Source organism: Homo sapiens, chromosome 11 (genome assembly GCF_000001405.40).
Source record: "Homo sapiens chromosome 11, GRCh38.p14 Primary Assembly".
NCBI classification, from domain to species: domain Eukaryota; kingdom Metazoa; phylum Chordata; class Mammalia; order Primates; family Hominidae; genus Homo; species Homo sapiens.
This window is the reverse complement of record NC_000011.10, coordinates 117,778,763-117,803,185: the sequence shown is the minus strand read 5'-3', so window position 1 is coordinate 117,803,185 and position 24,423 is coordinate 117,778,763. Positions and strand designations below refer to the sequence as shown.

At 50.6% G+C, this 24,423-nt stretch overlaps 1 protein-coding gene across 5 annotated transcripts in view, besides 1 other annotated feature; it reads left to right on the top strand.

Moving 5' to 3' along the window:
• The window catches only part of DSCAML1 (DS cell adhesion molecule like 1), a 389,743-nt gene that overhangs the window by 14,329 nt on the left and 350,991 nt on the right, over window positions 1-24,423 (top strand). For 3 of the 5 annotated variants that reach the window (NM_020693.4, XM_011542917.3, NM_001367904.1), the window contains exons 1-2: window positions 5,970-6,152; window positions 22,376-22,693. In NM_020693.4, coding sequence (NP_065744.3) covers window positions 6,107-6,152; window positions 22,376-22,693 — 364 coding nt within the window. In that variant the 5' untranslated portion in view covers window positions 5,970-6,106. Of the gene's footprint in view, window positions 1-5,969; window positions 6,153-22,375; window positions 22,694-24,423 lie in introns of those variants that run through there. The other 2 variants (XM_011542918.2, NM_001367905.1) reach the window with 2 other exon arrangements.
• Window positions 21,999-22,498: an enhancer, noted in NCBI's record as "H3K4me1 hESC enhancer chr11:117651403-117651902 (GRCh37/hg19 assembly coordinates)". NCBI's record gives its function as "activates a minimal SCP1, AML or CMV promoter by ChIP-STARR-seq in primed H9 embryonic stem cells {active_cell/tissue: H9 hESC(primed)}" and the evidence as "EXISTENCE:reporter gene assay evidence [ECO:0000049][PMID:30033119]".

Below are 24,423 nucleotides of genomic sequence, written 5' to 3'. Positions count from 1 at the left end.
AGCTGGCCCAGTCGGTGATAGGAGTGTTCCTGCAAGCCATTCCCTATCCTGGAAGTACGTGCATGGCCTGTGAACCATATAAATACATTCCACCAATCCCAAGCCAGAGTCAGATCCCCCCAAAATGTTCACCAGACCCACCGAGAAGCCAGAGCAGAAAAGGGTAGCAGCTGTGATTGACAGTAGTTAAACTCTATTATTCTACAGTGTTTTCATATCTGACCATGTGAACACATTACTAGGGCCCTAAAGGAATCTGAAGCTTGAGCTGTGTAAGTGTCATGGTATTAAACATCCCAAATATGCCTCTGGGACTCCTCTGACTTTGTGTCTTCATCTATATAATGATCAAAACAATTCTGGCATATGTATCCAGATCCTTTTAGGTGAGAATCAGAAATGGACGAAAACATAAAGCCTCTGGAACCTAGAGGCGCTGCCTACAAGGTCAAGATGACAACTGTGAAGACCACAGTGATGCGGGCTCAGCAGGAACTGCTGAGACTTCTTTGGTTTTAGGGGTCAGCACTCCTGCGGGGTCTAATGTCCTGCCAAATGCTCACTCTTAGAGACGAGAAACTCCAATACGAGAACTTTCAAGCTTAAGGCTTTGATCCTAGTTAAGGGACATCTCTCTGGAAGGCATGGCACGTGAGGCTGTAATCAGATATCTGCTACCTTATAAGAATGAGCCCATCTGGTCATTAAATCAACACTTACTGAGTGTACCCCTAGAGCCAGGAGGCACCAGGCTAGGGCCTGCAGGTACAAATCGAAAGGGTCGGAGCCCAGTGTCTAGAAGAGGAGACAAGTCAGACACATGCCTAAATAGCCACAATTCTAGACAAAGGGATGAGACCCATGGGCCAAGTAGATGTCTGAGGCAGTGGGAGACCAGAGGAGGCCTGGTCAGGGAAAACTGGGGGTGCCTGACCAGGCCCTGCTGAATGGGAAGCCTTAAACAGGTGAAAAAGGGGGGCACTGGGTACTTGAGAAAGGTGAAGGTTTTCCAGTGTAGAAGACACTTTCATAAAATTTGATAAGCACATTTGTGAGTGACACATGGGCCAGAAGAAATGCCGGAAGACTTGGGAAGCCAGCAAGTTTAGCTCTGCTCATTGCACTTTCTTTTTTTTCCTATCTCTCTTAGTTTCCATACCTTCCACCCCACTGCTCCCCAGAGAGAAATGTGACAATGAGCTTCAGCTCTGTCGAATCCGGACTACATGGAACCTCTCTGGGTTGGCTTCTCAACCGATTTCAGAGTTGTGAGCTGAGAAAGAACAGCAGGAGAGAGGCCACAGTTATTCAGGGGACTCCTGCCTTGCTGGGGGCTTCCGCAGCCCCTGACCAACCATCCTGGTGTCACTGCTGAGACAGCAGCCTGAACAAGGGCAATGGGACCCCAGAGACTGCATCTGTACAGGCGGAGCCCCAGGGCTTTAGACCCTTTGCTCCAGTGATCTTAGAGCCATAATATTATCATCCAAAATGATGAGAGAGTAAGTGGCAAGCATACCTAGACATCTTCTGAGCCCAGCAGACAGAATTTTGGTTTAAGGAGAACCTGGGTAGTATAATGACACATAATATTTTTTTATATATAGGCATCACAGTCTATGAATTGTACTGATTCATCTCATCTCAAGAAGATGGTATTTTAGATGTATGTGTATATATTTGAAGCCAAAACTGTTTATTTTGTGTAATTTTTTGTGCCTATTAGTTTCTGAATATCTGTGCATAAAAGCTTCTGTTTCTCTGCCTGCACACATTTGTGGGTACACACTATACACCTATGTGGGGTAGGAGGGGGGAATGGGCATATTTGTTTGCATTTACCTTGTGTTTGGTCCTAGGAAGGGATCTTGGTGATCATTCCAGCCCAGCTCTTTCACCTCAATGGTGAAGAAACTGAGGTCCAGAAAGGCAAGGTGACTTGTCACAGGTAACACAGCTGGCTATGGAGACAGAGGTGACACAAGAACCTAGGATTTCTGATTTGTAGATGAGAACTCTTTCTATAATATTAAAATCAATTATAAATTTTGGGGAGGGAAGCAGGGAGATCCTTGTTTTTTCCTCCCCCAACTGATAAGTAAGTACTAAGAAGGTCAATCTTGAATTAGCTATATAATACCAAAAGTTAAGTTTTTCACACAGACCTGGTTCAGTATTGATTCCTTTTATGAAAACCCTGTTTATACTCAAGTTGTCAAAGAATTCCAGAGGGCATATGAAGCCATTGTTAAAATAATTTTATGCCTTTGTTTTTGAAGAAAAGTATCCAAAATATATAAGCTTATTGTTTGAGTTAAACAATAAAAACATCTGCTGTTTCTCAGGATGGCTCTAGTCTTAATATAACATGGCAAAATAATACCCCCTAAATATCCATGATTAACCTGAATTGGAGAGGGCTCAGCTCCCAGTGACTTCATATAGCTGCTTCAACTGGCATTGTTTAAAAAAAACAAAAACAAAAGCACAAAAGCCAAAATACAGACAGATCATCACCCAGCATTCTGATGCAAGAAAATATTAAAACTGATCACTGCTTTTAAATGGGTAGTGTGTCCCTACTAGAAAGGAATCCCACAAATTTGAGGCTTAAAAAAATGGAGCATATGCATAGGTGCCAATGCAGAATTTCTGGATTGGGTTCAAATCACATTGAAGCACAGGTGTGCCTGTCATTAGGTGTTTATGTTTACCTGTACACATGAATGTTTGCCTGGGCAACTGTGTTTGTTCTCACTCTGGCATGAATATATTTGTGTGTGGGTGTGAAGTTTTCCATATAATTTTGGGAACTGTCCCTTCTATCAAAATATAGCCCCTCTAAAATGTCAGCTGGGGAGGGGACTGTCAGGGTTTAAGGTGGGCGTGGGGTAGAACACGCCGCCTGACTCTCTTCCCCGGCGTTTCATTTTTCCCTTGGGATTTCCTGGCATGCTGGCTTGCCCACCCCAATACAACTCCTGTCGAAGAGGAGACTTCTAAATACATCTGAGCCAACCTGTCATTTTCAAAGACATTTCCCTAGATACTAAGGAAGAACAAAATCAATGGGAAACACAAAAAGCATGAGGCCTGACCTGCCTGTTTTTCAGGTCCTTCTTTTGTTAGCCATCTCTCCAGGCTCTTCCGCCTCAGTGTGCACCTTCCGTGTTTCTGCAGCCCCTTTCCTGGATTCCCAGCTCCTTGGCTCTGGCTTTGTCACAGCATGGAAGGCACAATATCGTCCCAGCATTCCCCCAGTGGAGCTGTTCCCTCCTCCCAGTTCCCACAGGTCAAGGTCCTTGTGAGCAAAGCTGTTCCCATTCATGGTAGTTACCTGTGCTCACTATGCGTCAGCCATGGGGCTTGTCTTATTTAATCCTCGCTACGACTTTCCAAGGCAGATGCTGGGGATGTCCCCATTCCACTGGTAAGGAAACTGCAGCTTGGCACACATACATTTCCCAGGCACACAGCTGGCAAGTGGCAGAGCTGGGCTGAGGACTCATCTCCTGCTGTTTCCAAAGCCAGGCTCTTAACCATGACATTAGAAAGCTTCCTTTTGCCAGAGGGGGTCCCCAGGTCTGCTCTCCCCAACTGACCACCCGTTTATTTCCACGTATATGTCTCCTCCCGGGACAGCCAGACTGCAGTCACCGGCACAATGAATGACCTCGCCCTTCGGGTAACACACATGTTGTGGTTCTTTAAAGCCCCCTGTGTATAACTAGCATAAAGCCTCCTACACTCAGGTTGTAGGAGGTACTTGGGGTGGATGCAAAGAAGAGGGTCCACCGCTACTTCCAGCGTGTGAGGCACGGAGCAGCTGTGCCGCTACCCCAGGCCCACTCAGATCCCCTCCCAGCAGACAGCAGCCCCTTTCATCCTGTCTGCCTTAGCGGTTTATTTTAGGCATGACCTGACCAGGTGCTCTGGGTCAATAGGCTTAGTTTTAAATAACTGGATTCCTCTCAATGACCGTTCCCTTTAGAAGGGAGGGGGCATGGTAGAAGAATAAGCCAGCAGGCTGAGGGCGGTGAGAGATGGGAGCTAAGACAGAAGACTGGAAACGTGAGGGCTCTGTCACTCCCTGCGTGACCTCGGGGAAGGCTCATGGCTTCCCCACTCTGGGCCTCAGTTTCCTTATCTGTAAAGCAAAAGATCGGTCTGGGTCATCTCAAACACCCCCTGCAGTCTGTCCCCCCGTCTCTGTTCTATGCCTGTGTTTCCAGATGACAAAACACCTCCTGCAAATTGTTTCAGGGTGGTGATTTTGCATGAAGAGCTGAGCCACCGAGGGATGCTGCAGCTTATAGAGCAAGCTCTGCTCTGGAGTCGGGAGGCCTGGGTTCTAGTCTTGCTTCTGATACAACCTTGGTGGCCTTGAACAAGTTAAGCCCCGATTTTCTCACCCGTTTAAAGGACGAACCTTGAAAACATTATGCTGAGTGAAGTAAGCCAAGCACAAAAGGATACATACTTTATGATCTCACTTATGAGGTACCTAGAATAAGCAACTTCATAGAGACAAAGTAGAATAGTGGTTGCCAGGAGCTGGGGGAGGGGAGGGGAAGGGGGAGTTATTATTTAATGGGTGCAGGATTCTGTTTGGGATGATGAAAAAGTTTTGGAAATGGTAAGTGATGATGGTTGCACATCGTGAATGTATTTAATGCCACAGAATAGTACACTTCAAATGGTTGAAATGGTAAATTTTATGTTATGTACATTTTAACATATTAAAAAACACACTTTTCAAAATTTAGTTAAAATTTCTAGGGATATTTTGGCAAAACCTGGGAGTGAGGAGTCCCAATTCTCCCATGTGAACTTAGGCCGCACATTTCGAGGAAGTAAATTTTCTTCCTCTGGCAAATGCAGCTAGCCAGTGGACCCCTTCTCTCCCTCCAAACTTCGCACTCCACACCTTAGAGTCTGCCCAGGTACAGCCCAATTGTCAGGGCATACTCAAAGCAGCTTCCATGACCCTGCAAAGGGAGCTACAGTCCTGGCTCATAGGCCATTCTCAGGGATACCTGGATCCCTTCTCTGGGTTCTATGTATCCTCTTATTTTGGAATTAAGACGAAAGGAGGGCTTTCCAACCATATTGACCTTTTACAGCAGACCTGGCTCAGCCATGCCTGAGTCCCCAGTGCCTGAGCCAGTGCCTGACACAGCAGGTGCTCAACATTCATTTGGTCACTGAGAAGACGCCCTCACTCCAGTCCTATTCTATGCCAACTTCATAAAGATGAGTGTAAGGAATAAGCCAATTTCTGTCAGGCAGGAAAGCTATAGGGGTGGGTAGGTGAAGACAAAGGAGGAAGATAACACAGGTAGCGTAGACATTAAACTGCTCATTGTGAATAACCGTTTAAATAGTCACAATGTGCCAAGTGCTGAGGAAAATTCGAACAGCGTGCCAGGGGGTGGCTGGACTCATCTGGGGTTCTCCGGAGGGCAGGCTTGCGGAAGTCACGAGGGGTTGGAAGGGCAGCTATGAACTTTGGGGTGGGGAGTAGCACCAGACAGCACTGAAAAGCCTGGGATTCTACCCAGAGCGTCCATGCTCCTCCTGGGGAGGGTGGGGGGGCCGGGTAAGCTGAGTCCGAAAGAGGCAGGAAGCTCGTGTCCCAGGTGACTTAGGCCAGTAGAAACCGGGCGTCCTTGGCTGAAGCATGGCAGGCTGTTGGCACATGGATGACACATGCCTGTCTGCGACCACAGGCTCCAAGCCGGTGGGTGACAGGGACCCCTCGCCTCTCAGACAGCGGAGCCGGGTCGGGGCGGTCTGGCCCGGGCCGCCGCTCCTGTTCCTGGGCTTGTGGGGCTGGGGTCCGTCTGGGCTCCGGGCTCGCGCGGCGCTCACCACCCGGGGTGCCGCGGGGGGGCGGGGAGAGCGGCCGCCTAGCCCAGCCCCGCGGATGACAGGAGCCGGGGAGCCGAGGAGGGAGGAGCCGCCGCCGCAGCCGAGCGCTGGGCTGAGGAGCAGAGAGAGCGGGGCGCCGAGTGCGGGCGGCTGGGAGCGCGCTGAGCGGGGGAGAGGCGCTGCCGCACGGCCGGCCACAGGACCACCTCCCCGGAGAATAGGGCCTCTTTATGGCATGTGGCTGGTAACTTTCCTCCTGCTCCTGGACTCTTTACACAAAGGTGAGACCTGCGCGGGCGGCTGGGCGGCGGAGGCGGCGGGGCCAGGGTGGCGCGGCTGGCGGCGAGGCGGGGTGCCCGGCGGGCTCCAGGTGCGTGGGGGAACCGACCGGGGTGCAAGGCCCCGGGTGGGGCGCAGCGGGGAGGGGCAGGCACCCTGACAGGGGCCGAGTGAGAGTCAGCCCCCGACCGCTCCGCCAGCCACCCGCGTCTGCCGTTTTGGGGCGCGCCCGTAGGGGTGGTGGCAAAGGAGCCCCTCATCTCCCTGCTCCCTGCACGGCGGCAGTTCTGCCCTGGACCCCTCCCCCAGCCCCTTGCCCTCTTCCTGCGGCTTGGTGGCACTGGGACCCCGGAGTGCCCTCCGAGTCGAGGGGTCCTCAGGCCGTGACTCTTGACCTAGGAGTCCTTGCTTATTCAGGCCTCGGACTCGGCGGCTGATTCCTCCGCTATGTCCGTGCGTCCCTCTCCCGCCGCGGACCCCAGCCCTGGCGCGAATGTTGGCGCACCGCATGGCGCTTATCCGCGCATTGGCTGGAGGCAGGGTGGGGATAGTGAGAGTCCCGAGAGCTGGAGGTCCCTCGGATAGCAAGTTTGTTCTCCAAACCCAGAGGTCACCCTCCCCCGGCCCTACCCCACCCCTCTGCCCCGGCTTTAGCCCCGGCTTGGTGCGCCACCGTGGCCACCTCGGGCAGCGCGCCCCAAGATGCGAGATTCTCCGCTTCCGCGCCTGGCCAGTTGGACCTGGGGACAAGTCTTCAGGCTGGGGGGCGTGTCCCTCTTCCCGGAGAGAGGGGGTTGCTAGGGGTGGGTCCAGGTGTCCGGCATGTCCAGACCTGCGGCTGGGGCGCTGCGTACCTGATCCGCGAGGCAGCCGGGATCGGGAGGTTGGAAGAGGGCAGACATTTCCGACTGAAGCCACCTGGGCACTGAGTCGGGACCAGGCAGGCGCAGGTAGTCTGGGTTCCAGGCTATCGCAGAGGACGTGCCCCCGGGCGCGCAGATGGCGGGAGATGAGGCGGCCGAACTCCGCGCCCTTGCGTGGTGGAGCACACACGCTCCAACAAGCTCAGCGTCACCTGTTCAGCCCTCTAACTTTTCTCCTTCTCGCCCCGGGGCGGCTTCTCTCTCCCTTTGCCCTGGCTGTTGCCCTGGCCGGGCGGCAACTCTTAACCCCAAGACGATGAGGAAGGGCACTCCAGTGGAGGGTTGCCACCCGGGGAGGGGTCCAACCCTGCCCTGCCGGTGCTCCAGGGGTCTGGAGTCTGCAGCCTGCCGGAGCCCACTGCGATACATCGTGGGTTGGGGGAAAGAGGATAACCCTTATTTGTAGATACTGCCGGGTCAAAGCCAGACTCAAGGCCCAGATACTGCTGGCATTTACTAGGCGATCGGATTGCGGGACAAGGAAGGGTGGCCTCAAAAATCGTCGACAAAGTAGTTGAGTTTCTCAGGCCCAGTGGGGTCCCCCGGGTTACACACCAAGGCTGGTCTCTGCTGTTTAACCCCTTGCCCCCCGCATCGCACTCCTTCATCCTACCTTAGCAGAGCAAGAAGCCTGCCTCCTGTTCAAGCCCCACCCCCGAACCCCAGTCTCCCTCTCCCCAGGTTCTTCCTGCCTCCCTCCGCCCCCGCAGGCTGGCTCGGCTCGCAGCTTTAATTACATTAATATTAAAAATACATAAGGTGAGGAGCGGCTTTCTCTCTCGATAGTTCTCTCTCCAACCCCCATCCCCTTTCGCAATTTGTCAGGCGAGAAAGCACAGGCCGAAGCCGCTGCCACACTCTAGCCCGGCTTTGTCCCCAACTCCCCCATGCCTCCACAACACTCTCTGGAGACATCTTCCAGGACAGCCCATTCCCGGGGAGTGCAGGAGGCCCCTCAGCAAATACCTGAAGGACACTCCCCTCCCCCTTCCAGGAGCCTGGCATTAATAAATGAAGCCGAGCTATTTGATAGGGCGGGAGCAGATGGGGTTGGGGGTGGAGAAAGGCCCAGAAGGCAACAGGACAGCCAAGGGGCAAAATCTTGTCCAACTCGAGATGGAAGTTGCCAGTGGCCTTGGACCTGTAGGCGGGCTGGAGATGCCAGTTGTGGCGGCTCCTCGGTGGCCTTTGGGTCTGCAGAGCCCGGTGCCCCTGCGATTCAGAGGCTCCAGCGTCTGTCTGTTGGGCGCCAGGGTGCCTCGCCAGACAGGCTTTTCTTTTCCTTGGTGCCTTAATTGGGTCTTAGGTGCCAGGCTGGTCCCTGGGGCCTGTTCTGCTTGGGGTGGCGTGGTAGGGGGTGGCAGAGGCGGCTTGGGGGAAGATGTGATGCGGAGACAGCAAGAAAGATGGGGTTTGGAGTATTTTCTCTCCCGTTGCCAGTCACCCCCGCGGCACCAAGGAAAATGTAAATGTGAATGTTCGAGCCTGTTACAGAAAACAATATCCTCTTGCAATAATTTGTACGTCCATCTGTGAGGAGCGGGAGGAGGCAGGGAGAGAGAGAAGAAAACAGGATGAGATGGAGCATCCTTTGGATGGAATTAAGCAGTTATTGAATGTGTTTTAAGCTTCTGTTATTTCCATTCCTCTCAAAATACCTTTTTTTTATGATGCCTGAGCTCAGACTGATTCCCCAGAACTAAACTGGGAAGGTGTTTTAATCATCGGTTATCGAGTCTCCAATAACTGCCTTATTATTGCCAAAACAAATCCAGGTTTAGGCAGCCGGATGAACCCCGGCGAGGCGCTCTCCGTTGTTCCATCCAGCGTGCCAGCATCTGTGTTGCCTGCATTTGCATTTTTACTGTGTAAAAGAACAAGCTTCCCCGGCACTAAAATTCCTGTTTTCTAAAAGCCAAAATAATGGATTGCATTGATTTTTTCATTTCCCACCCCAACTTCTCCGATGGGGACTCATGGTTCTTCTCTCTTGGGAAGACCAAATTAAAAGCCTTCGTCAGGGCATTAAGAAAATCTCCAACATTCTGTTCAGTGTCTAATTAAAAAAAGGGGGGGGGGGCAATGGGGAAATGTGTTTTTAAAATCTTGAAATGGCAAACGCAACTTAGGGGAGGCAGGCGAAGGGCCAGTGAATACTGGGGAGGGGCTGAGTGGCAGAGAGACCCCGGTTGCTAGAATAACATGAGGGAGATTGGCAGGGCCATGATGCCCGACAAGCCTTTCCGACGCTTCGTTTTTCTGGGCATCAAAGCCAGCTGCCTTTAATATATTTCTGCAGTAGAATGGGGGAGCTAATTAGAAACAAAAAACAAGTAAGCAGTAGACCCAAAGGCGGCGCTTAAGTTGAACAGATCCCGGGGGACTGGACAGAGAGGCTTAGTTTTCTTAGGATGAGGATCAGAGAGGATGTGAGCAAGCAGACAGGGCTTTGGCCCAGGGAGAGCTTGGTAGGGAAGCAGGCCCCAAACAGGCTGGCTAGGAGCCCCCAGACACAGGGTCAAGGTCTGTCCAGAGCACCCCATGGACTGTTAGCCTATGACAGAGGGATGCAGACCTCAAGCCTTCCTGACCTTCTCTGTGTCTTAGAGAAGACACATCCTTGCCACTTGCCACTTGCTTGGTACCCTGCTCTGGCTGGTGAAGGATGATTTAATTGTAGATGAAGAGAGGGGAGGGCAGATGCTCAGAGAGTTTTTCTGCAGGGATACGAGTTCCAGGCTGCGAGCTTCTTCCCTCCTCCGTGATCTTGGAGGAGTTGTTTTCTGGGGGACCTCTGAAGTAGTCAAGAGAAGATCCCCTAGTTCCTGAAGCACTTTCTCAGCTCCCAGCCCAGTCGATTCTAGCGGGTACCCAGGTGCATGAATAGGGTGAGCTACAGGCAGCAGCGATGGCAGGGTGCCAGGAACCCAAGGGCACACCCCAGATTTGCATATAATCTGCATATGGATTTGCATGCTCACCTAGCCAGGCCAAAAGCTGTGCCCTCTGTGAGTAGCATCTTGACCTCAACCTCAGTAGCAGCCAGTCATTGGCTTCCTCCTTGCATGGAAGGGGGTGGGGAAGGAGCTGGGAGAAGGACTGCTGTTGGTAATGCTTCTGTCTCCTACATTTTGTTGCCTCCATATGTGCCTCCAGTGCTCAGCACTGGCTTCACCATCTGGCAAGGCAGCCCCAGAGCTCCCACCACCCCTATCCAAGGACAGACAGTGGCACTGGGGATATTGGGGTAGGATGGGTAGCAATGGGCCAAGACACCGTAAGGTAGACCAAACTTGGGATGTGGGTTGCTCCTCTCATGGTGCAGGAAGAAGAGGGTGAAGAGAGGGGCAAACTAGCTATAGAAATCCAGGGCCCGCATTAGATTCCTGGTGGGTGCACCCCTAGAATGCAGGGAGCTGGGTGCCTAGGGCTGCCATCAGCAGGTAGTGAGGTAGTTGCTGATGGCATGGGGGTGTGAAGTGAGGCAGAATGCTCTTTCACCCTCCTGGTTTGTCACCACCTAGCCTGGGAGGTGGTCGTGGCTTCAGAGAGATGAAAGATATAGCACCAGCTTCTCATTCCACCTCCCCTAGGGCAGCTTCAGGTATGTGGGTTGGTTATGGCGGGGCAGAGGGAGGACAGGCACTACAGTCACTGAGGGAAGGGCGTGTCAAGAGCCTGGAGTGATGCTTGAGGAGTGAGCACTTCAGGAGAGCTGAGTGGCCCCTCCCAGCGAGCCAGCTGGGATGCTGCAGTGGGAGTGTGGCCTCGGGAATGGTTTTGTCTGCATTTCCAGGGCCCTGAGAGGATACTACTATGGCAGGTGCAGCTCCAAAGCCTTCCCAGATTATTTTTCTGCATATCCACTGATCCAGAAGGGGCCTGGCCCACCAGAGCCCACAGAGGTTTCCAAGAGATGTGGTATGGAGGCCTAAGGGGTGAGGTGGAGCCTCAGGGGATGGACAGAGGTAGAGAGGGGGAGGGCCAGAGGGCAGAGCTTCAACCAGAGCTTTTATTCATTATCCAATTTCATATATTGGAGTAGAATGAAAAATAAGAAAGGTTGCAACCCACTGGTGTGGTAGAAATTTGGAGTCAAGGCAAATCTTTCATTCACATCCTGGCTCTGCACTTACTGGCCATGTGACTTTGGGCCTCTCTGAGCCCCACTTTCTCCAGCTATGAAATGAGATTAAAGAAGATAATGCATATCAAGTAGCCAGAACATAGTTAGTGCTCAATAAACATTAGACCTCTACTTTTTCCTCTGCATTGCCTCTACCTTCCTCTCCCTGCCCCCTCTCCAGAATGCATCATCAGATCCTTCCCTAAGCAGTTGAATTAATCAGCCACATTTTTGGCCAAGCCAGTTGGCTTAGACTTTATAACAATAAGAAAGACAGAGTAGTGGCCAGGACAGGGGACGTCAACTCCTTCCATCCGTCACCTAGCTGGATAGCATGTAGGACTCCACATGGCTGAGGCCATGTGGTCACCTGAGTGTCCCTGGGGTGCCCAGCACACTTCCTTCCCCTGGCCATCAGTGGAAATGAAGAGGGCTGAAGTTGGCTCCAGACTTGGATTTGAGGTGAGGCAAAGGTTGGTCTCATATCTGCCAAAGGAAGGCTGGGGTTGGTTGTTAAATCTCTACCACGGTTGGCCAGAGTAAGAACTATTCTGGAGTTCATGCCATAAAGCCTGCGTAAGCACTCCTCACAAAGCGAGGGAGCCCTCATAACTGTTGCTGGATGTATTTCTGTGTCTCTCCCTGCTGAGATGAACCTCTATTTTTCAGGCAGTTTTGCATATAGAGAACACTCTTGGCAGCCTGTGACCTTGGGACTGCTCTTCCTTCCATGACCTAGTCTGTCACAGGGAAGCAGCATGTAACCCAGAGGTCAAGTGCTGCCTATGGCAGGCCATGGCCTGTGGGATCCTACATGTTGGGGAGGCTGTGGGCTCCACAGCCTGTGTGCCTTGTTAAACAGATGTTTGTCCTGTGCTGCTTTAGAGTGAACAGCATTAGCCTTGGGGACCACCCATGCCACTCCAGCTGCTACTCCCCTCATTCGTTCAGCTGCCCTGCCCCACTCCCTGTGCCCTGTCTCTACATGATGCTTGCACTAACAGTTTCCAAGGTCACCATCTTCATTAACAACAATTATTCAAATGCTAGTTAGTTGCATATCCATTAAACTGATTCTAAAGAGATGCATGTGTGTTTGCACGTGCATGTGTGTATGTGTGTCTGTGTGTTGGAAAGAACATTATCCATGGACCTAAAAAACAAAGCTCAGCCTGTCTTACCTGGGCAAGTTGCCTAATGGTTCATGTGCCTTTATTTCGTAATCTGTAAAATGGGCAAAATTACCCCCGTCCTGGCTATCCTACAGAGCAGTTGTTACTGTATATGTGCATAAATAAGAATAAGAGGCATAAAAATGTACATCATGTGACAGTGCTTTGTATACAGAATGAGGCAACATATGAACACACACATGTAAAAACCACAGCAAACCCGTTTTAGCCTTATAAATGCTCTGCTGAAATGTGAGGCATAATTACTGTCATTTCATCATACAGGAACGATGAAGGTCTCACAGCTGTTTGTGGCTGTCTCCCCCTCCGTGGGCCCCAACATATGGAGAATTTTCCTAGCTTTGCTTTTCAGCATCATGGGGAACAGCTGATGAGGCACAGCCAGGCTGGCAATAGTCTTCCTGGAGCAAACTTGGCAGATCCCTTGAGGCCCCAGTGGTAGTGGGAGTGGGAGGAAGCCTACCTCTTCTCCCTCCTCCCATTCCCCTCCAAGGTTCTTAGATGCAAGTGTAGTCCATAGTCCTCTGGACCAACTCCCCCAAAGGGACATTCTCCCTGCAGGGAATCCACAGTCTTTTGTGGGAAGAGCAGTAGGCACAGTCCCATCTTATGTGACCTCATTTAAGGTCACAGTATTCACTGGAATCTCTGAAAACTCTGCCGAGTCGAGACTGGTGGACACCCTGCTACTAGGGTGACCCTCCCGCAGTCGTGGGGTATGAGAGAGGATAGGACCCCTGCGTTGGGGGTGGGAGAGGGAGATTCAGGTGATCACCTTGGGTAAAAGTCTTGCAGGGTTGGAAGGCATCTTTAAGGCTGTGGAATCTGTCCCCTAATCAGAGGCTGACTCCCTCTGCAGCTTTCCCACCCAGTGTCTTTTTCTGTCTTCACTAGCACTTCCTGCAACAGGGACTCCTTCCTTGCAAGGCAGCCCATTCCTGGCCACACAGCTCTGACTATTACAGAGCTCATCCTTAGAATGAGTCAAACCCTGTTGTGGTCTTGGACCTTCTACTCACTGGTCCTGATGTCACCGCTTGGACCACATAGAGCAAGGCAAAGCCCTCTTCCACTTGACAGCCCTGCGACTGTGATAGGCAGATGTCCTGCCCATCTGAGGCCCCTGCTCTGGACACGCAGCATCCCTAGTTGCTCTGATACACCCTCGAATGACATCGTTTCGGTGCTTCATGGTGCTCCTGAGTTCCACAATGGCTAGTTTTCTGACAGCAGGGTGGCCAGAACTGAGAGAACACTGGAGACAGCACTGTAGCCCCAGCTGGGATGCTGGTGAGCTGTGTCCCTGGGGTAGATGACTCCACCTCTCTAGGCCTTGTGAATGGAGGAGATTGGAAAAAATAATCTCTTAAGTCCCTCAAGCATTAACAATCTAAATCTAGGATTCTCTGGGGACAACTGTGCTGTCTGAGCTGACTCCCTGGAAAGAAATTTTGGCCATAAGGGACCTTCCTTTGACAGGCCCTGTCTAGAAAGGGCTGGAAGATTAAAGAGTCTGTCCGACAGTCAGCTGTTGCTCATAACTTCTCCTGGAGCTGATGGCACAGGGCCTTGGAGGTTGAAGGATAGCTGCGTCTCCACTGGACCTCGCAGGTTTCTGGTTGCTGGTCACAGAAACCATGTTTGTGCTAAGAATCTTAAAAACAAACAGCAAAACCACCCATGTTTCTGATGGACACAGGGAGGACACTTGAGCTGTGCTTTGCATGGGGATTGGAAATGGGGAGCGTTTTTTGGTCATCTCAATGACTAGGGTGGGGAGCTGCTGGCGTTTAGTTGGGGGAGGGATGGAATGTCTAATGACAGGGAGATTCCCAGGTAATTCTGAATTATCATACCCCAATTGATCTCTTTTGTCAGAAAATCCCCCCACAGTGTGCTCACACCATGGGGATGGTCTGAATCTAGCCTGTCATGTGCCTGCTGAGCCACACATCCTGGCATAAAGATGTGAAATGCAGCTCTGCCACTGCGAACTGTGCAACACCAAGAAATTATTTGACCTAAGAGCCTGTCTTCTTATCTGTAAAATGGAGTCTTGAGTAGTAGCTACATCCAAGGGCTGTTGTAAGAATTACATGTGCAATAATGCAAGAAAAAGGCTTCCCACCATGCCTGGCACAAAACAAATGCTACAAAGAAATGATGGGGCTGGGCATGGTGGCTCATGCCTGTAATCCCAGCAGTTTGGGAGGCCGAGGCAGGCGGATCACTTGAGGTCAGGAGTTCGAGACCAGCTTGGCCAACATGGCGAAACCCCATCTCTACTAAAAATACAAAAATTAGCCAGGCGTGGTGGTGCACGCCTGTAATCCCAGCTACTCAGGAGACTGAGGCAGGAGAATCGCTCAAACCTGGGAGGTGGAGGTTGCAGTGAGCCAAGATGGTGCCACTGCACTCCAGCCTGGGTGACAGAGCCAGACTCCGTCTCAAAACAACAACAACAACAACAAAAACAAAAACAAAACAACAACAACAAAACAAACCAAAAAAACCAAAAGATGGCACTGTGATGGGGAAGGTAGTGGTGGAGCAGGTGTGCCAGATTGGGTGGACATCACAGGCAGAGAGCATGGGACTTGGCCCGCTGCTTCCTCTTGTCCAAGGACCATACCAGCTCAGGCTGCCTGGTACATGCTCTGATGCTGTCTGGGAAACTCAACCCTCTCCTTGCCAGTGTCTGGGCTCAGACAGTTTCCAAGATGCAACATAAAGGGTTTTTAGTGAAGCAGCAAGACACCGTCTGGCTGGTCCTCCTCTGGGTTTTGAATGGACTTGGTGGGTGAGCCGGTGGGAGGATCACCCTACTGGTTGATCCTCTCTAGAACCAATTTTTCCAACTCTGGGATGAGAACAATCAGAGTGAGGGCACATAACACATCTCCCATGAAAACCTTTGTGTGGAAATACAGTGAAGTAATCAACCTTGCAAATCAATCCAAGAAACCTCTCCAGCTCACATCTGCATGAAGAACTCTGCGTAAGGCCTGGGAATTAGCAAAAGCTGTGTGGCTACTGCAATGCTCTGTTGCTATTGATTCTACCACTGTTGTTTTCTTATCTTGATCTCCAAATTAAGTTAATTAATGTGGTGGTAGGGTCTTGTCAGCCAAGCAGATGACAATTGTCTGTCGTTGGGAAAGGAAGTATAGAAGTCCAGGATGGCAAATCTACTTTTCCAAAGGACTGTTACTCTCAGTATAGACAGAGGACACCAGTCTCAGAAATAGAATTTCTGGCCCTATGACAGACTTGGTGAATCTGTTATCTAAGGCTCTGCATTTTTAACAAGCTCTCCAGGTGATTCTTATGCATACTGATGTTTGAGAACCACGGTTTTAGGTTATTATTATTATCATCAGAGGTGAGCAGTAAATATTTGTTGCACAAGGATTCACTTTTCCCACAAATACTTACTGCTTGCCTGCTATAATGATAATGCTTGTAACAACAGCCACAAATACTTAGGTGGTGCCAGGCACTTACATAAAGCAGAAACTGTCCCAAGCTCTTCATATATATTAACTCGTCCAACCATAACAACCCTTGAGGTAGACATTGTCACCACCTTTGTATAGATGGGGAAACTGAGGCACAGAAAGGTGAGGCAGTCTTGCCTGGGGTTACACACACTGCTTGTAAGTGACAGAGTAGGGATTCAAACCCAGGGAGCCTGGTACCAGAGGGTGGGCTTTTCACTACTGTACTGTGTGCCTAGTATGTGCCCAGGAGACAGAGTGGTGACTAGACAGTCACTGCCCTCGGGGAGCTAATGGCCTTGCAAGGGAGAGAATACCTACTGGCCGGTTGGTCCTGACCATTCCTCCTGTCCCCTGCCCCCTGCTCCCCTGAAGACCCATGACCTCTCCTACGAATGGTTGCCATGCCTGGGTGAGGCTGCCCTTGAAGGATCTTGCCTGTCTCTGAGGGGGTGTGGCAGGGGCCCCAGTGCTGGCAGATACTCCTGGATGAAAAGTCCAGTGAATGAGATGAGTAAATATTGTAAGGGAAGAGAACAAAATGACTCATCTCCCAGTGGAGGTGGCGAGGTGTTAATATTTCAGTCCCCTCGGGTTGTCCTTTACGATGATTACAGATGATGACATGGGGGTAATTCAGTGTACACCTCAGAGCAACCTCAGTCAGCCAGCTCCTCCCACTGCAGACAGACACTTCCATCCCACACAGGCAGGTGGGGTGGGAGCCCTGGGGGTCACATACACGGGGCTCGAGTTCCCTTTGCAAAACTAATCCTGATGCCCAAGCAAGCGGTGGAGGGCGAGCGAGTGAGTTGATGCAATGGATACTTAGGTTTCAGCGGTGACCCTGGGGGCAGGCAGCCCAAATGCCTGGGGGCGATTTCTGGTTTAAAAATATTGCTGTGCTATTTCCACACTTCTAATCTCCTAGCAATTTGGAGCCTGTTTTATGAAACACAGCATCGGGGTGGTGCTCAATGTTAAACGGCAGAGAAGATTAAATGGGTTTAAGTCTGGGCGTCTGTCACATGACAACCAAGCCCATAACTTCCATTTTCTATTAAAAATCCATTTCCCCCTTTGACCAGAAGAAGCCTTGCTGTTGATCTGAGTGTCTCTGTCTTTATTTATGAAGTGTTCCCCCTCCTCTTCTTTCTTTCGGTAAATATGCCTGGTTCTGTCTGCAGAGGGAAGAAAGAGCTGCGGGGAGTGGCTGGGATTGGAGGGGAAGGGAGGAATCTCTGTCAGGGGATTTGCTTTCCAAATTGGGACCAGCTTGGAGAGAAGGCATGAGGGGAAACTTCTTCAGAGCCCAAACTTTGAACTCAACAACATGATGGAAAAAGCTCGGGTTTGGAGCTGGTTGAATTTTGACTCCATCTCTTCCTGGCTGTAGGATCTTGGAGAAGATGTCGACTCCTTCAGCCTCCTTTTCCTCACCCTTAAAATGAGACTAATGGGCCCTCCACCTCATACCTTTGTGTGAGGATTAAATGGTCAAACCTGGTGCCTGGCACAAGAAGGTGCTGCAAAATGTGAGTCTCCTTTCTTTTGGGGACTCCACAACATTAGGCCAATAAGACTTTAGGGAAATAGATGTCCAGCCAAAATGCCACAGAAGTTAGACATAAGGACTACAAGAACTTGGATAACCTCAGGCACCACTGTCGGGGACTGCTGGACCCTCAAACCTTGCTTTCCTAAGCTTGCAAACCTCCACATATCCCCCACTGCCTTCGACCCCCAACTGTCTTCCACCGCTGAGGCCCAAACTCCTCAATCCAGCTGGTTTCAGCTCTTCTCCCCAAACCCACCCAGTGCTCCAGCCTGCAAGGTTTCCACAGCATCCCCCAACATGCATGCCTCACCCACTGTTGTTGGGCTGTCTTCTCTGGGAGTGCCCCCCCTTGTCACCCCACCTATCCAGGTCTTCCAGCTCAGCTCAGCTCCTACCTCTTCCCAACGCTTTTTCTCTGGCTGCTGAATAACTTTCCCCTTCCCTCCCCATGGCTCCTGGCTAAATCAGTGCTTTCAGCCCCCGGGTCACATATGGCCTGGTGCTATTGTTTAACCCCCTTTCCTGCTCCCCCTGTCCTTTACAAGCTCCTGGAAGGTGGAGCCATTCTCCTTGTCTTTGATGCCTCCCACCATACCTGGGATACTGTGGTGCAGCGCGTGGCTGGTGCTTGGTAAATATCTCCTGAGGCAATGAATGTCTTCTCTGGTCCCTGGATCAGAAATGACTGGGGAAGGAGGACACTGAAGGGTGCAGGAGTCAGCCGAGAGGAAGTAGGGTTTGGAGAGGGCTTGGAATTCTGCAGAGCTGCAGGGTGGAGCTGTGCCCTTCCATCCCTGCAGTAACCTTAGGCACCCTCGACCCCTCAGGGAGAGTGAACAATCCCTATCTCGCATATTATAACATCCTCATGGGGAATCAAGAACTGCCCCATTCCATTCCACCATCTTGGCAGCTCTGGGAGGCAGCTAAGATGGTGCAATCACATCCTGCCCTTTTGTAAAGGAGGCTCAGGAGGGCTAAGCGGCTTGCCTGAGGTCACACAGCAGGTGAGGGGTGAGCACCCAGAGGGGAGGTAGTTCTGTCAGACTTCAAGGCAGGGGTCTGGGGCTCCTCTGGGAGCTTGCTAGGGCTTTGTCACCGCTCTGAAGATTCAAATGAGTCTGAGAAGGTGGGGAAACCCCTGCTGTAGAGGCAGCACCAGACTCTGTGAGGCCAGAGTTAGGACACCAGGCTCCTACTACTCCCCCTTCTGTCCCTGGAGTTCTGAACACACCCATTGCTTCTGTGGCCACTTAACCTGCTGCCCATGTGCCCAGTCTTCAGCGTGGCACATAGCAGAGATTTGAGGTATTTGCTGGTCTGTGCCTCAGTTTCCTCTTTATGTATTTGCTTACTCCCTTGGCAGGCAGGGCGAGGCTAAATTAATGGTGATTTAAGGGTTTCTGCATTCTGAGCTGACAGGTGCCTTGTGATGGTAAAATATGAACCCAATGTAAGTGCAAAATGCTATTGTTTTACACCTGAGGGTGATGTTTCATGATGGCAATGCACTGTCAGAGCCATACGCAGAAATGAATGGTGTGTCTAATCCTCCCCTGCTCCCCCAGACTCAGAAGACAGAAGCTCACATCCCAGGGTGGGAGAACTATGAGGCTTCTTGCCTTTTGCTATAAATCTGCCTTTTCATCAGCCCTGACAGGTGGCTGGACAATCCCAGTCAATTCATCAATTAAATCTACCCATTTGTAGTTGCTGGGAACCTTGTGTCCTTGGCTCCAGCAAGATCCGAGGCCCAGGAGTGCAGGAAGGCTGCTGTCATTGTGGCTGTTGCTCCTGGAGGGAGTAGAGGGGGCCTGGGGAAGTGGCCATCTCAGGAGGCAGGGAGAGTGGAATGGATTTCCATCCAGGAGAGAAGGAGAGTGGGAATGTGTGTTTGGAATGCGGTTGGGGTGGAGGAAGGGTTGGGAAAAGTACCCAGCCTGAAAAACCATATTCTGTGGTTTTATTTGTCTTCCATGGGGTTTCTGCAGTAGAGTAGGAGGTGCATCCCCCAGCTCTGAGGCGAGGCAAAGCTGGGTTCTAGCCCCAGCTCTGGCATTTGCACATTGTATCACTTTGGGGAAGTTAGTGAACTTCTCAGAGTCATAATTTCCTTATCAGTAAAATGGAAATAATAATAATAACACCCCCGAGGGAGTTATGAAGATTAAATATAATATCTGTATAATATAAATACGGTATCTAGAATGGATCTGGCACAGAGCCTGGCCTGTAGTTAACAATGAAGTCAGTGGTGGCTATTACTATTGCTGGAGTTCTGGCTATTGCTATTACTATTATCATTACAGAGGGCTACATCATACTTAGCCTTGAGAACTTACTTACCTTCTCCCATGAATCAATTCCTGAATTCCTCCTTGTCGGGGATTCTCTTGGCTTCCTAAGTCCATTTACAGGCACAATGTAGAGTCTTTCTGTACTGTGATGGATTTTGGCTCCCAAATCCATGAAGCTGCCAAGGTGAGAGTGCCTGATTACCTAGGTTTCTCAGGAGGCACCCAGGACCCCGGAGCAATGTCCCTGTTCCCAAAAGCAAAGTATTGTCTGAAATGCCCAGAATCCAACAGAAACCGCTCCCAGGAAGGAGTGTGTGTGTCGTGTATGTGCATGTATGTGTGTGTGCACCTGTGTGTTCTTGGCCAGCTGAAAATGGAAGTTGGTGGCCAGGTTATGTCTGAGGAAGGTGAAGGTCCCTCTTTATTATTGCAGTGGTTACACTGTGGTCATACATCACAGAATGGTTAAGACAGTGACTGTAGGGCCAGATTGCCAAAGTCTGAGTCCCAGTGCCCTCACTTACTGGTTTTGTGGTCTTGGGTAAGTTGCATTGATCTCTCGGTGCCTTAGTATCCTCATCTGTACACTGGGATACTAATAGTACCTGTCTCTTAGTGTTGTCTCTTAGTGTTATATTAAAAGAAGTCATATAAGTAAAGTCCCTAACAACAGTGCCTGGCACATTGAAGATGCTTAACAAATATTTGCTGCATGGATGTCAGTAAGGAAGGCTTTCAGAAAGTGAGAAGAGTCTTGGAAGTGGGACCTGCTAAGTGTATATTCTAAGAGAAACCTCCCGAGCCTCGGTTTGCTGCCTGGTGAAATGGCATGATTTCATGTTCTTGGGGAACACTCCAGCCACAGCAAGTTGGGCATGCTTCCAGAGCTTCTGAGGGTCCCGTGCAGAGCAGACTTGCTTGGCCACCAACTTTATGACTGTCACAAGAGTAGGCAGCATGAAGAGGAGAATGGCGAGGCCATGTGGCTCCCCTCTCCAAGAAAGTGCCTTTAGCTGCTATGAGTGCAGTGCCTGGTGGGGACAGCAAATGCACTTGCTGCTAAGAGGATGCTCCTGACACCGCAGCAAGAAGCCCACGAATGTGTTTTCCAGCACGTCTGCTAATGGCTCCATCACGGCTTTTATGAGACGATGTGAATTGCTCTGACCAATGAGGCTTAATGGCCTTCCTCAACGAGCTGCCTGGTATATTCTCCCCAGAGGCTCGGTTCAGAGTTAAGCCAAGAATATTAATACGGCCGGATGTGGGCCCTCCCCCATCCTATAAAGTTGTGGACATTGAGGTCAAGTTGGGTCCCCTGCAACGTTCTTTAAACAAGCAGCAGAGTGGTTTGTTTGCTCCTTGACCTTCCTGGTGGAGAGAGAGTGGCTTCCGGCTAGAGACCTGGGACCCTGCCGTCTCTTCCTCTGGGTTGGTGTCCACTTGCTAGGCAATGGATTTCTTAAAGGGGCAGGCTCCTCAAGAGGAAGGGGGACACCCCTTGATTCCAACATTCAGGGTTGCTGGGATAAGAGCAGGAAATATCTAGGCCTGATGCTGGGATAAGAGGAACAGATGGCCAGTCCTCCGAGTCAGGTGGCCCTGCCACTGCCAGCTGTAATCATAAGAACATTCTCCCATGTGGTTGAGGGTTGGAATGGCACCATGTCAGAGATGGAAGCGGTCTTTGCAGTCTTGCCCATCCTCTCCCTCCATTTTCCAAGTGAAGGAGCAGACGATCCAAGTGAGGAAGGGAATTGCACAGTCACATGGTGTGAGGACTGGGTTTAGAAGCTGGGTCTTTTGCCCTAAGTCTAGATCTTATCCACCCACTCTTCTGCTGGTCCTCATTCAGTCCTCTGTGGCAACGCATTTCCCAAATCAGCTGTCAAGGTCTCCTGCACTCTTCCGTCTTCCATTCCAGGCGAGCATCCCAGCTCCTGTAGCCATTCATCTCAGAGCATGGTTTTGAGACCTTTTACAACTTTCGTCTGTGGGATGATAGAAAGAGCACTATAATCCTCTTTAGGAGCAATGGGTTCACATTTTAGTTCTGTACCTTAGCTGTGTGATTCTGAACAAATTCCAAAAATCCTGGGATTTTCTTTTTTTCTCTTTTCTTTTTTTCTTTCTTTCTTTTTTTTTTTTTTCGAGACAGAGTCTTGCTCTGTTGCCCAGGCTGGAGTGCAGTGGCATGATCTCTGCTCACTGCAACCTCTGACTCCCAGGTTCAAGCGATTCTCCTGCCTCATCCTCTCGAGCAGCTGAAACTACAGACGCGTGTGCACGGCTAATTTTTGTATTTTTAGTAGAAACGGGGTTTCATCATGTTGGCCAGGCTGTTCATGAACTCCTGACCTCAGGTGATCCGCCCGCCTCGGCCTCCCAAAGTGCTGGAATTACAGGCATGAGCCGCCGCACCCGAAGGCTGTGGTTTTCTATAGATCAGGAACTGTCTCTGATTCACCTTTGCCAGTGCCTGGTGTATAGTCAGTGCTCAATAAGTGCATACTGAATGACTGATGCTTGAAGGTCAGGTGAATGAGTGCAGCCTGTCGCAAGCCTCCGTGGCTTATATGGGTATTGTTAGAGCCCATGCTAACCAAGTCTCTCCCCTTGCCTCTCCTGCAGCCCGCCCTGAAGATGTTGGCACCAGCCTCTACTTTGTAAATGACTCCTTGCAGCAGGTGACCTTTTCCAGCTCCGTGGGGGTGGTGGTGCCCTGCCCGGCCGCGGGCTCCCCCAGCGCGGCCCTTCGATGGTACCTGGCCACAGGGGACGACATCTACGACGTGCCGCACATCCGGCACGTCCACGCCAACGGGACGCTGCAGCTCTACCCCTTCTCCCCCTCCGCCTTCAATAGCTTTATCCACGACAATGACTACTTCTGCACCGCGGAGAACGCTGCCGGCAAGATCCGGAGCCCCAACATCCGCGTCAAAGCAGGTAAGGGACAAGACACTGGCTGCCCCAGTGGCACAGGAGGAGGCTGCGCCGTCATTCTGAGGATATTCGGAGGGGCTTGCAAGAAGTCGTTCACTCAAGAACAGTTTTGTTGTTCTCTTTTGAATCTTTGTTGTACCACTTGCTGTGTGTCCATAGGCATAAGAGACACCTTTCTTTCTCCTTTCTCTCTTTCTTTCTTTCTTTCTTTCTTTCTTTCTTTCTTTCTTTCTTTCTTTCTTTCTTTCTTTCTTTCTTTCTTTCCTTTCTTTCTTTCTCTCTCTCTCTTTCTTTCTCTTTCTTTCTTTCTTTTTTTCTTTTTTTCTTTCTTTCTTTCTCTCTCTCTCTCTCTCTTTCTTTTTGCTTTTTGAGACAGAGCCTCACTCTGTCGCCCAGACTGGAGTGCAGTGGTGAGAAGACACCTTCCTAAGCCTCAGTTTTCCCATCTGCAAAGTGGATGCAAGTACCTACCTCTGTATCACTACGTGTGATGGTTAAATGAGTTGGTGCTCATTTAAATGAGGTGCTCACTTCAGCCCCCTTGACTTATAGAAAACCCGCAGTGAGGTTTCCTTGAAGCCTTTTATTGAAAAATAATATATAAAGGAAAGTGCACACATTACAAGTATGTAGCTTGATGAAATTTTACAAACTTCAACTAACACTGAGATTGAGAAATACAACATCAGCACCTTAGAAGCGTTCCTCAAGCTTCTTTTGTGACACTATTCCCCTAAGAGCCACCACTATTCTGATTTCTAACAATGTAGATATTTTGCTTATTTATGAACTTTATACAAATGGTGTCCAACGGTGTATATTGTCTAGACCTTTTGCTCACCATTCTGCTTATGGGATTTACCCCTGCTGCTGTGTGTGGTGGGAGGTTGGTTGTTCTCACTGCTGCCTAGTGTTCTATCATGCAACTAGACCACACTTTCTTTGTCCATTCTACTGCTGAGGGGATGTCTGAGGATGACATATCTCATGAGAAAAGGCAATTTGGTAAAATTCACGATGAAAGACTTTTAGCAGTGAAGGATTTTGGTCTTTGGAAGAGTAGGTGGAGGCAAGGAGGTAGGGTTTCTCAGGTGGTCTATTTTAAGAAAAAAGAAAGTCTTATTTCTCTGGATTATGTCGGGAGGCCAAGGGGACAGCTAAGATCAGCCATTCTTCACTAGGACACCAGGGTACACTGGTGTCTCACAATCAATGGTAAGGTGGGTCTCGGATCATTATAAAGCACTGACGTTTTGGGAATGGTTTTCAACTTAGAAGAGCTTTTCAACTTAAAGACCCAGCCCACTGCAATGGTGCCAGGCCTAGGTCACACCATCTTTTCCAGGGACTGTGTTGGGCCAACCAGGGAGAGTGGTTCTGGGAAAGGCCTCCCAACCAGCATGTGGTGACAGACCCTCTCTGACTTCTTGGGGTCCTTTTCCCTTAGGTACACCTCTCATAAGAGCAAGGTTTAAAGTAGCTGGGAACGGGAGTGTGTAGGGGTGAGGTGGGGTGAGAGCTGTCCTTCATTCCATTGGTTGGTTTGGGGCTAGACCATGAGCTCTTAGAACACAGAGATATGCTCAGGGTTTCTCCCTGGGCTCCCCATGGACTCTTTTTAGGAGCAAGTGCTTTGCACGGCTCAACCCCTAATGCAGCACCAAGTGCTGGGCTGGGAGCCCTGAGGCCTGGGTTTGGAGCCCAGCTCTGGCCTCCACAGCGTGGAGGATTGG